The 16,014-nt window shown below is 39.9% G+C and overlaps 2 long non-coding RNA genes across 4 annotated transcripts in view; one reads left to right on the forward strand and one right to left on the reverse strand.

The window, feature by feature from the left end:
* Positions 1–1,249: 1,249 nt before the first annotated feature.
* Positions 1,250–5,099, reverse strand: LOC124901013 (uncharacterized). Its single transcript, XR_007058839.1, has 2 exons — positions 4,918–5,099; positions 1,250–1,876 (listed from the first exon to the last, which is right to left on the reverse strand). It is a non-coding gene; the product is annotated as an uncharacterized LOC124901013 (long non-coding RNA).
* Positions 5,037–16,014, forward strand: part of LOC105379047 (uncharacterized) — a 31,751-nt gene continuing 20,773 nt past the window's right edge. The window contains exon 1 of one of the 3 annotated variants that reach the window (XR_948497.3): positions 5,037–5,108. This is a non-coding gene — a long non-coding RNA (uncharacterized LOC105379047). Of the gene's footprint in view, positions 5,109–5,142; positions 5,302–5,599; positions 5,767–16,014 lie in introns of those variants that run through there. The other 2 variants (XR_948498.3, XR_948499.3) reach the window with 2 other exon arrangements.

A 16,014-nucleotide genomic window follows, 5' to 3' on the forward strand; every position in this document is an offset into this window, starting at 1 on the left:
GAAGAATGGATTGTAAATATTTCATGTTGTAAAGGCTACAGTTCTTTAGTATGAATACAGCTAAGTTATTCCATAGTTTTGCACGCACAGTATTTCAAATAAGAAAAATTTTATGAGTAGCCATCAGTGATCATATACTTCCAGAAATTTCTCTCATGTTAAATCTGCATGATCAGCTGAATAAAAACACTTCAAATAAAAGAAATCCATTTAGTAACCCCATCACTTTGGGAGGCTGAGGCAGTCAGATCACCTGCGGTCAGGAGTTTGAGACCAGCCTGGCCAACATGGTGAAACCCCGTCTCTACCAAATATACAAAATTAGCCGGGCATGGTGGTGGGCACCTGTAATCTCAGCTACTCTGGAGGCTGAGGCAGGAGAATTGCTTGAACCCGGGAGGTGGAGGTTGCAATGAGCCGAGATCACGCCACTGACACTCCAGCCTGGGCAACAGAGTGAGATGCCATCTCAAAAAAAAAAAAAAGAAAAAAAAAAAGAAATCCATTTAAATATAAGGATTTTTCCTCAAATACAGTTCAATTAAAATTTGTTGACTTTATTACACAAATGCACACATGAATAAAACATAGATCCTATCTTCAGGCTTTCCTGTCAAGCATAGGTCATAAATGAGATACACAAATAATTACAATGCAGTGTGATTAGTATAATTATAGATATGTATATAAGCTGTAACAGTAGCAGAAGTAATTAACTCTACAACTGAAGGCCTCACATGAGAGGTGATGTGTATACACTGGTTTTGAGGGATGACTGTGAATTTCACATGAAGATGAGAGGAAGCAGGAGTGCACCTTCTCATCTTTCTCATTCTTTTTTTTTTTTTTTTTTTGAGACAGGGTTTTGGTCTGTCACCCAGGCTGGAGCGCAGTGGCGTGATCTCGGTTCAACGCAACCTCCACCTCCTGGGTTCAAGCAATTCTCCAGCCTCAGCCTACCAAGTAGCTGGGACCACAGCCACGTGCCACCACACCCGGCTAATTTTGTATTTTCTGTAGAGATGAAGTTTTGCCACGTTGCCCAGGCTGGTCTCAAACTCTTGAGCTCAAAGCAATCCATTAGTCTTGGCCTCCCAAAGTGCTAGGATTATACACATGAGTTACTGTGCCCAGCCTGTTTCTCATTCTTTATTCACAAAATAAAATGTATTGTAATCCTATAATCATTTTATCAAAGAACTAACAACTTAGAAGTCCTGAAAAAGTACAAATTGACTTAGTATCAAAGTCAAGTATTATACATAATTTTATTAAATAAAATAGTCATTAAATTCTACATACTTGCAGTCCCATCAAAAACATTGGCCAAAAATTAAAAAGGCACTTCTTAACTTGTAGATGGTGGCACAGGGAAATAAAGGCACAAACTGGAGCCAGACTGCCTAGGCTCGATCTCAGGCTCTGCTTCTTACTTGCTGTGTAGTCTTGGACAAGTTATTTAACATCATTGTCCTTCAGTTTCCTTATCTGTTAAATGAGAATGACGATAATAGCAGTATGGGCTTCATAGGGTTGTTAAGATTAAATGAGTTAATAAAAGTAAAATAGTCAGAATAGTGGTGGCCAGTAAGTGCTACGTAAGTGTTGGATGTAGTTATTATTGTGTATTTCTTTTAAATACTCTAAATTACAGGAAAAAGGGTAGTCTCCTAGTTCAATTATAGCTGACAGTTGGTTCAAAATAAATCTGCTGTTCTATCTAAGGAACTGAGTTTTCCTTGAGAAGTGTCCCAGGAAGAAATCCCCAGGGCTGTCTCCTTGGTCTTTGGCCAGTGATTGCAAATATGCTGAGTTGAATCCATCTTGCAGGAAGCGTGGTAGATGAGTCGGCTGGGACGGAACCCACCTCTGCTGGCTGCACAAATGCACAAGTTTTGTTTTATAAAGTCATTCGGTACTGGAAGGCAAATTCTCCTACACAAGATGTAAACTTGAAGTCACTTAAACTGTTGTGTCATTTTTTTCCAGAAAGATGAAAGGTAACAAAACCATTCTGAAGTCAGTTAGCAATGCACACGCTTATAGACATGAAATACTGCCATAAAGAAACAAAATTCCGTTTTAGAATTCTGAAGAACGTACCTATCAGGTAACAAAAGCAAGATGTCTGGCAGAATTCCCTGGGAGACTCCTTACCTTCATGTCCAGCTGCCCAGTCACTATCTGGAGGCATTTATAACAGAGGAGTCAGTGGCACAGTCAGATTCCCTTGGAATGCTCTAGAGTTGCACTAATTTACATGTACACAATTTAATTTATACCACCATTTCCATAAACATGATGGACCGGTTCTGATTCACCTATAGCCAGCTGTGGATATAGCACACTGGCAGTTTTTCTCCTGCCTCTTGAAACCTATTTTCAGAATGAGACTAATAGCTAAGGTTAATTTAGAACTTACTATGTGATACCCACTGTACTAAGAACTTTTCATATACTGCCTCATTTAATCATTTAATCTTCTATCCTGTGAGGTAAGTACTATTATTATGCACATGTTACAGAGGAGGAAACGGAGGCACGAACTTGTGCCAAGGCCATATAATTTTTACAGGAGGATCTAGGGTTCATATTCAAGTCTGTCTAACTCCAAAGCCCATACTTTTGCCTTATACTGCAATCTTCTCCAGTCCCTGAAGGAAAGCAATGTTTCTGTTAAGAGGAAGGGGAAAGGTGTAAATGGGTTTTAAAGTGAACACAATGAATCTTAGGCAAACTTTTTTTAAAAAGCACATTTGTTTTTGGTGCCTGCCCACCTCCATTTCTCCATTTCGGTGTGTCTTTCTCCTACATTGTTACATTTCTTCTGTGGTTTGAGTACAAATTTAATAAAGCCATTGATTCTGTTACAATATTTACTATTTACAAAACAAAAGCTGTGCACAGTGGCTAATCCCAGCATTTCGGGAGGCCTAGACGGGCGGATTGCTTGAGCCCAGGAGTTTGAGACCAACCTGGGCAACATGGCAAAACCCTATCTCTATAAAAAATACAAAAAAAATTAGCTGGGCGTGCTGGCACATGCCTGGTGGTCCCGGCCACTCAGGAGGCTGAGGTGGGAAGATCTCCTGAGCCCAGGAAATTGAGACTGCAGTGAGCCAAAATCGTGCCATTGCACTCCCGCCCGGACAACAGAGTGAGACCCTGTCTCAAATAAATAAATAAATAAATAGATAATCAAATCTGATTATCTAATCTTTGTCACAGTTTTCTATCCTCTAATTTCTTAAGATATGCCAGCTTCATTTCCTTTCACTGGCCCTGTTGCCTGTGACAGACACTGGTGCTGCTTAGCAGAGAGAGGAAGCCATTCCACTGTCCCATATGGGCCCTAACACCAGTCCCTTCTTTGCTCTTTCACTCCTCAGTGAAGACCTTCTTGGATCATTTCCAAATCTCTTGGTCCTTATTACTAAAATGTCGATGTGAATGGATTGTCCATCAGAAATCTGGCCTCTGAGAGCATTCCTCAAGTTATGCTGACAGTCAACATAGCCATGAATTCATATTTGCACACAGCTTCTTAGGAAAAGAATTCTCAGGCAAAATAACTGCAGTGTGTTCTGGTTTGTAAACCAAACATGTTTGATTTGTCATATACCATTCAAATTTTAAAACCTTTAAGTTTTAGTGAGTTGAGTGCTCTTATTTTACAGATGAGGAAATGAAAATCCTGAGAAGCTAAGAAATATCCTAAAATCACACAACTTATTAATGCTTGTACGGAATTAGGAACTAGATCTTCTTATCATATCTCTTCTAGTGAACAAACAATAAGGCCAAAGTTAGTATGATGTGACAGTGGAGCACTTTGCTAGGAATGAAGACAGCCAGGTTTAATGCCCAATTTTGCTACTAAATGTGACATTAGATTAAACTTTTACTCTCTCTGGACCAATTTCTTCAACTATAACCTGATGGATTTGATCTAGAAGTGCCCAGTAAGATAGTCACTAGCCACACATGTAACTATGGAGCACTTACAGTGAAACTAGTCAAAATTAACATGTTCTGTAAGTGTAAAATACCCACTGGATTTCAAAGACTTAGTACCACACCAAGAATGTAAAATATCTCACTACAAAACAATTTTTATATTAATTGCATGTTGAAATGATAATGTTTGGATATTTTGGATTAAATAAAACATATTACTAAAATAATTTTTACCAGTTTTTTTTCTTTTTTAATGTGGCTACAAGCAAATTTAAAATTAACTGGATGGCTTGTATTATCTTTCTACTGGATATGTTACTGTAGGAGACTTCTCAGGTTTCTTTTAGATCAGAGGTCAGCAAACTTTTTCAGGAAAGGGCTGGAGAGTAAATATTTTTGCCTTTTGTGGGCCACACGGTCTCTGTTGCAACTGTTCGTCTCTGGCCTTGTAGCACTAAAGCAACCACAGAATACATAAACAAATGTGTGTAGCTGTATTTCAATAAAACTCTAGATACCAAAACAAGCGATGGGCCAGATGTGGTCTACAAGCTAACTGTAGTTTGCCATGTACGTTCCTTGGGTCTATTCACATTTTCCTCCATTCAACGTTTACTGAAAAGCTGTTATCTATTTAAAGACATTTAGAATAAAGAGCCAGCCTCTGCCTTGAGCCTAGGGAGGAGCCAGGAACATAAACACACAAGCCAGCAGGATACAATGTGAACAACACTGTGATCAAGGAGATTGGAGAAGGCTTCTTAGGGGAGTAACAGCTGAGTTAGGATTCTGCAGAATGAATATGCAGTTTTCCAGATTCAGGAAAGGTTTTATCTAGGGAAACATAATAGCACACATAAGGTGACGTGTGTTTATGGCAGCCGGGGAGTACTGTGGTGGTGATAGTGGGAAGTGAGATGGCAAAGAGGAAAAGGGCCAGATGATGATTAAATGCCTTACCTGCCGCAGTGAGAGCATACACACATGCTCTGATAGCACTTCTTAGACGGGAATTCTGAGGGTCAAAGCATGCCATCCTGGGGTTGGCCCATGGCAGCACCAGCCATGAAGAGCAGCCAGCCTGGCAGGTGTGGAGAGGCCCCAGAGAACCACAGAAGCAGCCGCAGAAGTGATGAGTGAGCAATCTCCAGGTAACTAGATCTGTTTTGCAACAGGGGCTGAAAACCTAACCTAATGCTGGCCACCAATAGGGCTAAACAGTGTTAGCAGGTACTGTCAGCAGGCCTCAGGCAGAAGCAGACAAGAAGGGTAAGAAGTAAAGGAGAGGGAGGAAAGGAGTTGAAAGAATAAGAGAATGAGGTGAAAGCTGAAGTCCCCACAGAGGTAACAAAGTACTGATTGATTTCCTGAGGACACCCTCAGTGGTGCTGGGTGGGAGGCTGCTGAGGGCCTGTAGGCTAAGTTCGGGGATTGTTGGCCTAAACTGTGCATTGGAATCTTTTATGTAATTGGAATTTTTAAAAAATCATAATGTGGAGTATAATGGCATATCTTTAAAATTATAAATATATATGAGGCATATGTGAACGAATGAAAGACAAAAGAGAGAAAGAAGGTGTACAGGAAGGGAAAAAGAAAGAAGAAAATGAAAACATGATTGATTGCAAAATAAGTAAATAAATGAATAAGTACTCATGCCTGGGTCCCACCCCTGGAAATTCTGGTTTAACTGGAATCAGGGCCCAGACATGAGTAATTTTAAAAGATGATTCCAGTGCACAGCCAGGGTTAAGCACCACTGATTTGGTTTAATAGAAGCTGAAGTGATGTCCCATATCTACTTGGCTGGTAAGTAGGTACTCAGTAGAGGTTTTTTCAAGGTGAGAGGAAAAAAAAAAAGGAAGGTACACAAAAAAAGGCAGGAAAGCAACAGAAATAGAGAACCTAAACCCATTCTCATATGCTTGAAAGCAATTTAAACTACAGTTATAGTAGGTTAGTGTTGTTATCTGTTGTATGTGAAATGGACAACATGAAATACAAGAATTTTCTGCATTAACTTGACATGACTAAAATCAGACAGCTTCACCAGAGTTTTTTGGTCTCAGACAATCTAGAGTACTCTCTTTCTCTGGAATTATCAACTCTTAGGTACATGTCTTCTGATGCCCAAAATTGCCAGTCAATTCAGAAAGTAGAATGTTGCTAAGTTGATAAATTGAAGCAGCTGCAGACAACCAGCAAAACCTAAGCTCTGGTTTAGTTTATTTATTTATGTATTATTTATTTATTTATTTTCTGGCAGAAGATCCAACACAAAGATACTTAATAAGAGCATTTAAGTTCAAGAGCAATTAAAAATAGTAAGTTACCTTTTTATACTAGGAGGATTATAAATGGACATTTCTCTGCTTTTGAAATCAAGAATAGAAAATACACAACTATCTCAAAAGACTCAGCCTATCTGATCATCTTATTTTGTACTGCAATTCCAACTTCCTATCTGCCTTTTCTCATTTTTTTTCTCTATAGCACTTCATCTTTTTGCATACTGCATACTTGTTAGTTATTTTGTTATGTCTTCTCCATCTTCACTAGAATGTAAGCTCCATGAGATCAAGATTCTTATCTGTTGTACTCAGGTATACGCTTAGTGCCTATCACAAGTGGGGACTCAATAAATGTTTGTTGAAAAATTGAACAAATTGTTTTAAAACTGTCATTAGTTGGCCGGGCATGGTGGCTCATGCCTGTAATCCCAGCACTTTGGGAGGCCGAGGTGGGTGGTTCACCTGAGGTCGGGAGTTCGAGACCAGTCTGACCAACATGGAGAAACCCCCGTCTCTACTAAAAATACAAAATTAGCCGGGCGTGGTGGCACATGCCTGTAATCCCAGCTACTAGGGAGGCTGAGGCAGGAGAATCGCTTGAACCGAGGAGGCAGAGGTTGCGGTGAGCCAAGATCGTGCCATTGCACTGCAGCCTGGGCAACGAGAGCAAAACTCCGTCTCAAAAAAAAAAAAAAAAAAACTCTTGTTAGTTTAACGTGTTACAGAAATATTTTAGAACAAGAGGGTAATGTCTAATATCACTTCAAGATTGTGTCACACTAAGAAGCAAGTTTTTTTAAAAGGTGTTATAATGTTATTAAAGTTGTTTGAAATGAGTCAATAATATATACACAGCAAGTGTAGGTATACATTCAATTACTAGTGTGGAAGGAATCAGATGAAGTTAGTCAACAGTTGTAGAATTGCCTTTTGACTGAAAAAGGATCATCCTAGGATTTTTATTCAAGTCTAGATCATGCTAAAACATTGTCTCCTCTGTCCCTGTTCTTGCTGCCATACACTTTTGCTATAAGATCAAAGAGATGAGGTCAGAAGGAACAGGGAGAGTTAGAGAACGTAATGAATGCTGGCTTTCTACAATTTGTAAGCAAACCGTTATAGATCCACTTGGAGTTTAAAAGCAGAGTAGGCCGAGTGCTGTGGCTCACACCCATAATCCCAGCACTTTGGGAAGCTGAGGCGGGTGGATTGCTTAAGGCCAGGAGTTCAAAACCAGCCTGACCAACATGGCAAAACCCTGTCTCTACTGAAAATACAAAAATTATCCAGGCATGGTAGTTCACGCCTGTAATCCCAGCTACTCGGGAGGCTGAGGCACGAGAATCATTTGAACCTGGGAGGCAGAGGTTACAGTGAGCTGAGATTGCACCACTGCACTCCAGCCTGAGCAACAGAGAGAGACTGTCTCAAAAAAAAAATAAATAAAAATTTAAAAAGGCAGAGTGGTCAGGTGCAGTGGCTTATGCCTGTATCCTCCTGCACTTGGGGAGGCCGAGGTGGGTGGATCACTGGAGGCCAGGAGTTTGAGATCAGCCTTGGCAACATGGTGAAACCCCATTTCTACAGAAAAAGAAAAATTTACCAGGTATGGTGGGACACACTTGTGGTCCCAGCTACTTGGGAGGCTGAGGCAGGAGTATTGCTTGAGCCCAGAAGATCGAGGCTATAGTGAGCTGCGATTGTTCCAACACACCCCAGCCTGGGCGACAAAGCAAGACCATGTCTCAAAGATTAAAAAAATTAGGCCGGGTGCAGTGGCTCATGCCTGTAATCCCAGCACTTTGGGAGACCGAGGCAGGAGGTCAGGAGACCTGAGGTCAGGAGTTTGAGACCAGCTTGGGCAACATGGTGAAACCATGTCTTTACTAAAATTACAAAAATTAGCCAGGCGTGGTGGTAGGCGCCTGTAGTCTTAGCTACTTGGGAGGCTGAGGCAGGAGAATAGCTTGAACTCTGGAGGTGGAAGCAGTGAGCCAAGATCTCGCCACTGCACTCTAGCTTGGGCAACAGAATGAGACTCTATCTTTAAAAATAAATAAATAGGCCGGGCAGGGTAGCTCACACCTGTAATCCCAGCACTTTGGGAGGCCGAGGTGGGTGGATCACCTGAGGTCAGGAGCTGGGGACGAGCTTGACCAACATGGAGAAACCCCGTCTCTACTGAAAATATAAAACTTAGCCGGGCATGGTGGCACATGCCTGTAATCCCAGTTACTCAGGAGGCTGAGACAGGAGAATTGCTTGAACCCGGGAGGTGGAGGTTGCCGTGAGCCGAAATTGGGCCATTGCACTCCATCCTGGGCAACAAGAGTGAAACTCCATCTCAAAATAAATAAATAAATAAATAAAATAAAAAATAAATAACGAGGCCGGGCGGGGTGGCTCACGCCTGTAATCCCAGCACTTTGGGAGGCTGAGGCCGGCAGCAAACAAGGTCAGGAGTTCGAGACCAGCCTCGCCAATATGGTGAAACGCCATCTCTACTAAAAATACAAAAATTAGCCAGGCATGGTGGCAGGCACCTGTACTCCCAGCTATTCGGGAGGCTGAGGGAGGAGAATCGCTTGAACCCGGGAGGCGGACGTTGCAGTGAGCCGAGATCGCACCACTGTACTCCAGCCTGGGTGAAAGAGCAAGACTTCATCTCAAATAAATAAATGAATACTTACATAAAATTAAAATAAAAATAAAAGCAGAGTGAAAACTACCAACAAGAGTTTATTTATGATAAATTGGTCCAAAGTCCCATAGTCCTGGAGCCAGGACCCTTGTAGACTTTTGATTTGAAGAGATTTATGGCAAATTTAATCTGTGTAGGCCTGAGTAACCCTGGGCTAGTTGAAATAGAGGATTATTGAGGAGAGTATTTGATTATAGTTAAGTCTAATGAGAAAAGTTCTTGACTGTAGAAGGGTGTTAGATTTTCTTGATACTGTCATACATTGTGACCATTTTCTAATAAAAAATACGTGAGCACCATCATTATGAATTTCACATAATGCATTTATGCATTTCAGTAACTTATGGAGTTGTAAGTGAAAGGGTATATTTTTGGTGGGAGCTAGTCCCGTAAGAAGCCTTGCCATTTGGGCCTATGGCTGAGTCATTACTTCTCACCTGTTGGCAGCTAACTGAATTTTGGGCATACTACCAAATGGTAATTTAGTCTTGGGGTACTTATCTATCATTGCAAACCAGTGAAGTGGTGGCACCAGTACTGAAACATTGATTTCAATTCTATATCATAGTTAGTTGAGGGAGACAAACAGACTTGGGGGCTGAGGGAAGAGAAGGGAGAAAAAATGGAGAGGTAGAGGAGAAAAAGATGAACAAAGGAATAAAGACAGACATATCAAGAGACAGTGAAAATACTATGCCACGTTGACTTGTGCACAGACATATAGACCTGCACCTGTGCACACAGTGATCCTAGAAACGCAGATTCACACAGAAAGATAGACTTTAATGGAGTTTAGGGTTTGTTATTAAAGGCTTCTAAAGTCATTTCTTTTTCTCCCTAACTACAAGATATAAATGGGAATAACAACATCTGGTACTTGCAAAGTGAGCCAAGACAATTAAATTAAAAGTAGAAGGTTAACCATCCTGCCTTGGAATGTGCTCTTTAGGCATTGAAAAACATTTCAAATTTTAGATTTTTCTTAAGGCAAAGTCTTTCAAATTACTTTTCAAGATTACACCTACTTAGAAGATGTAACAATGTGTTCGGATATCATGACGTCCTTGCATGAATCAAGGAAGGTATGATTTAAATAATGTTTTTAAAGCCATATATGAGACATATAGGAAGCAAGGAGAATAAATTAAGGGAATTCTGAATAATATAGAGAAAATTCAAACTAAAATTGTGCCAAAGTCCCTCCATGCCTGCCCACACCTCCTTTTGTGGAATCTGCCCTGCCCACCTTTGCTGACCAAGTGGCCATGTTTTATGCCACATGACCCTGCCTCTCCACTTCCACCCTGGGTGATGATGTCAAAAGATAGCGTCTGGCCTACGTACTGCCAGTTCAGTGACTTGATTGTGGTGGATAGAATGTAAACTCCATGAGGGCAGACATGTTTATCTGTCTTTTTCACTGTCTTTACCCCAGCATCGAGATGAGTCCTTGGCACATATTAGGTGTTCCGTAAATATTTGATAAATGAATGAATGACTGTGGCTTGGCCCAAATAGATGAACTGGGTCAATTAGAGTTCTCCCTTATGGATCTGAAATTTGAGAAAAAGGGAGGACATAGTGAGGCAGAGTGAAAGGACGTCAGGGACTTGAATGATAGCCAAAATTCACAGGCAAGTTACCAGGAAATTGAAAACAGATGGAGCTCAGCGAAAAACACTAGAGCACGTGCATAGAAAGATGCCACAACATGACAAGAGATGAAAAAGCTGCTCTGTACCAGCCCCATTTCCCATGAGGCTTCCTGTGCTTGGATCACCACAGGATCACTGCAGTGTCTTAAAAATACCCACAGCCGCAGCCCTTCCTTCCCTTGAGTTAGCTTAAGTGATTATCTGTTCCTTTTAATTACAAAAGTCCTGACTTCAGCAATAATGTATTTGATACAGTAATGATGCCCCAAGATAAGGTTATTATAACTACTTATACGAATATCAAAAGAAAGATGCTAAACTGGTATACATAAATGATTAAATCCTGTGAAAATAGAAAAATAAGATAGATAAAATGAAACCAGCCCAGGGGTTAAGAATACTAAAAAATATTTACTCATGCAACAAAGAGATATTGTTAAGTGTTTGTTAAGTGTTTACTAGGTGCGGGCATTGTGCTGGAGCTGGAGATGGCAACATAAAAAGACATGATCAACCCTCTTTAGGTATCAAAGGTCTAACAGGGACACAGCAAGTACAATGAAGAACCATAGAGAAGATGCAAACAGAGTGGGAAAGGAGCATGTGAAAAGGGGACATTTTGAACTGAGATGTGAGGAGTAAGTAGGATTTTGCTAGCAATGAATGAAAAGATTCTGCAGAAAAATTGTACTAGAGATGCTGAGTGGGAGGAGGACAGTCTAGGCGGGAGGAGTAAGTGTGCAAATGCAGAAAGGCAGGAAAAAAACAATCTTGGAATTATGAGTCTGTGAAGGGCAAAAAAGAGCCCGCAGAAAATGAAGCTTGCTGAACAGGTAGGCAGGGCCAAATGGTGAAAAATTTGAGATTTTATTCTGTAGGTGACTGGGAGCCATAATGAATACCAAGCACTGGGGAGGCATGGTTACATTTGCCCATGAGAAATTTCACCCTGATGTGAGGGTAGTTTGATTCGAGCCTAGCAATAGCTGGGGGAAGGGAGTGAGGGGGTGATGTGGTGGTGAATGACAATGGTTCCTATAGAATCTACGGCAGCAGAGGTGGGTTACAGAGAAGAGCTGGATATGAGAGTTTTGGAGTAAAATCATCGAGACTTAATAATTGATAAAGTCAAGATTGATAGGTTTGTATAGACAAAAAGGAACAAAGATATGAAAAACCGTCATTAACATTTGGAAATTACTGTTCCTAAAGAAAAGTTACACACTTTCACTTAATCATCACTGTGGGAGAGGAAGAGCTGCTGCTATTATCAAAAGCTCCCATTTTATAGAAAAGAACGTGTCTTAGAGAGCTGAATTGGCTTGCCCAAGCTCACTCCTACTTAAGAGGCAGAGCCAGAGTTAAAGTTTAGTTTCTCTAACTTGAAGCCCACTCTTTCTTTTTCTTTTGTTTCTTTCTTTTTTTTTTTTTTTTTTGAGACAGAGTCTTGCTCTTTTTACCAGGCTGGAGTGTGCAGTGGTATGATCATGGATCACTGCAGCCTGGATCTCCTGGGCTCCAGTGATCCTCCCACCTCAGCCTCCCAGGTAGCTGGGACTACAGGTACATGCCACCACATTCAGCTAATTTTGTTGTTGCTGTTGAGACAGGGTCTCATTCTGTTGCCCAGGCTGGTCTTGAACTCCTGGGCCCAAGCAAATCTCCTGGCTTGGCCTCCCAAACTGCTGGGATTACAGGCGAGCGCCACCATTCCTGGCTGAAGCCCATTGTTTTTCACTCATTTGGGCTGTCTCTAGGAAAATCAGATGAACAGACAAGAGACCACAGAAAAAGATTTCTTAGGGTAGCTCTACTATTGAAAAGGAAACAAAAGGCCCGGCATGGTGGCTCACTCCTGTAATCCCAGCACCTTGGGAGGCTGAGGCAGGTGGATCACCTGAGGTCGGGAGTTTGAGACCAGCCTGACCAACGTGGAGAAACCCCGTCTCTACTAAAAATACAAAAATTAGCCGGGCATGGTGGCGCATGCCTGCAATCCCAGCTACTCGGGAGGCTGAGAAGGAGAATCGCTTGAACCCGGGAGGCGGAGGTTGCAGTGAGCCAAGCTCGCACCATTGCACTCCAGCCTGGGCAACAAGAATGAAAATGAAACTCCATCTCAAAAAAAAAAAAAAAGGAAACAACAACCATAAAAAAGAAAATAAAAAGGTGAAAACGTCTGTCAAAGTATTTTTATGTAATTAAACTTATTTTATATTTATTCACTAAAACGCTGAAGGAACTAAAACATTCAGGACTCAGAACTTGATTCTTTTGTATATTAATTTTGTGTTGAAGTTCAGTGATAGGAGTCTTCATTTTTCTTATTTTCATCTCTTTGAAGAAAAATGACACTTTATAATTTTGTGAGCAGGGCTATTTGTCTTGATATGATTTTATACTCTATTTTAAAAATGGCATAGAGTACATTTCATAGTGCCCTTGTAGCCAGTTTCGCGTGGTACTGAACCAAGTCTTTATATAGCACTACTCTTCTAAGGAACATGATATTCTTTACCAACGTTCAACTCACTAATCTTTATGATGTCCCTGGCATTTCAACAGACATCAAGAATTTTCATTCCTTCCTTGCAAATAAAGAAACTCAATCTTAAAGTAGTTAAGTCTGTTTCCAAGAATTTTACAAAGTAGATCAATGCCATTCTCTTTAATCTACTAGAAACCTCAGACTCCAACTGAAAAAAAAAGTGTTTTCTTTTTCAGATTCATAGTCATACCCATTTAACCCATTTTGAAAGCCTCCTATGGGTTGAGTACTACGTAAGTTATTTTGTTTAATCCTCAGGAATTCTCTAGTCTTTGATCTATTTATATGATGATTAATGACATTAATTTAGTTGTACTGTAATGCATCAGTAAATTTGTTTTTTCATCTTAGGAGCAGAAGCGCTGAACCTTTTTTCTTCACTTTTTATTGAAAGTGAGTTGCATTTACAGAAAAAGTAAATGCAAAAATTTTAAGCGTACAGCTAAAAGACACGATTGCTAAGACGAAATGTTAATTCTTATCTGAGAAAAATAATTTTTCATTTACGTGTGTTTTCAAAAATTGTAGTAACTTCACAAAAAGCCTTAATTTTTTACTATTTTTAAAATTATAATGCCTAAAATGTTTTGCTCAGGGATTTGAGGCAATAACCACCATTTTAAGCTGGTTTCTCTAGTTGCAAGACCAGAAGGGGAACCACTAGGGGGCGTGCAAAACTGTCATTTCCAAAAGTATTCTGCAATTACTGAATCGGAATTTTAGAGAGGGAAGTGACCTGGAGGTCATCAAATCAGAACTTCATATTTTTTGGACATAAAAACTGAGATCCCATGAGATTACCTGATTTGCCCAAGATCACACAGCCATCTGTAAATCTATAAGAGGCACTTTAGAGGGCAAGCTTTTTTTGTACCTGTCCAGCTCATATTCTTCCTGGTAGTAGTGAGATTTCAGTTCTTTCTATAATATCACTTGTCGAATATTTACCATCACTTGGTAAACCACTTCACTGAATTTCCCATCCTTCCAGATTTTGCTTCCTAGGTGGAAAAACCTAGAGACTTGTTTTAAGTGTCTTGGAATGTCTTCTTATGGGGCTGGTGATAATAATAATATTTTGAAGCCAAAACAGTAAGCACAGCATAAGCACTCCCTATTATATCATTATTCAGCAAGGAAATCATCATCATCTTAAATACATGTTCTGTGAATACGGTAGTTTGGAATTGCTTTGAATTTTTATTTTTCATTGATTGATTGATTGATTGAGATGAAGTCTCACTCTGTCACCCAGGCTGGAGCGATCTCGGCTCATTGCAGCCTCTGCCTCCCTGTTCAAGGGAATTCCCCTGCCTCAGCCTCCTGAATAGTTGGGACTACAGGTGCACAGCACCACGCCCTGCTAATTTTTGTATTTTTTTTAGTAGAGATGGGGTTTCATCATGTTGGCTAGGTTCAAACTCCTGACCTCAGGTGATCCATCTGCCTCGGCCTCCCAAAGTGCTGGGATTACAGGTGTGGGCCACCACGCCTAGCCTGATTTTTTAATATAACTATTTTCCCCATGGATATTCTCTCCTCCCTCCCTCCCTCCCTCACTCCTTTCCTCCCTTCCTTCCTTCCTTCCTTCTCCTTCCTTCCTTCTTTCCTCCCTTCCTTCCTTCTTTCCTTCCTTCCTTCCACCACATACAATCATTCCCAATTTCTTTCTTTCTTTTCTTTCTTTCTTTCTTTCTTTCTTTCTTTCTTTCTTTCTTTCTTTCTTTCTTCTTTCTCTTCTTTCTTTCTTTGTCTCTATTAGCAAGTAAAAACTGTATATATTTATGGTATACTACATGATGTATTGATAGACATATACATTATGGAATGACAAAATCAATCTATTTAACATAGGCATTAGCTCACATACTTACATTTTTGTGGTGAGACACTTAAAATCTACTCTCTTAGCAGTTTTCAAATCCACAATGGATTGTTACTAACTGTAGTCACCATTATGTACAATAGGTCTCTTATACTTTTTCCTCCTGTCTAACTGAAACTAATCTATTTAGATGATAATTAAACTCTCCACTTCTAGGTTTATACCCCAGAGAAACTTGTGCACATGGACACCAAGAAATGTAAATAAAAATGTTTACAGCAGCATTGTCCATGAAGAGACAAAACACTGTAAATAGACCATTTGTCCTTCAACAGTAGAATGCATAACTAAATTGTGGTCTACTCATGCAATGGAATATTACAGACTAGCAAAAGTGAATGTTACAGCTTCATATATCAATGGTTGATGAATCTCAGTAATGTTGAACAAAAAAGCAAATCACACAAACCTAAATATGTGTGATTGCATTTATATAAATTGCAAATCAAGTAAAATTAGATAACATATTTCTTAAGGACACACATATATTATAAAACAATAAAAGCAAAGAATGACTAAGAAAGCTTCAATGTATGGTTACCTAGGGGTAGGCAGGAAAAGGGACATAATTAGAGGCATAAAGGAAACTTCTGAGGTACTGGTAATATTCTATGTCTTAAGATGGATGATAGGTACATAGCTATTCTTTTATTATTCTTCTTTATTTTTCTTTTTAAAATGGCACATACACATATATACACCCTTATGGTGGTATGATATATTTCACAGTAAGAAAGTTTCAATAAGAAAAAACTAATAATTTCTGAATTAACTTGAAAATTCTATATTGCAGTTGCAAAAAAATCATTTTAAATAACTTTTTCATTTAGAATCAAAGCCTGGTTTTAACTTCTATCTCAGAACATACTGGGAATTAAACATAGTATAAAATATTGCAATAAGGACCATGTTTTTGAGAAGTATGGGGGCCAGGCATGGTGGCTTATGCCTTAATCCCAGCACTTTGGGAGGCTGAG

This window comes from Homo sapiens, chromosome 5 (assembly GCF_000001405.40).
Source record: "Homo sapiens chromosome 5, GRCh38.p14 Primary Assembly".
NCBI classification, from domain to species: Eukaryota; Metazoa; Chordata; class Mammalia; order Primates; family Hominidae; genus Homo; species Homo sapiens.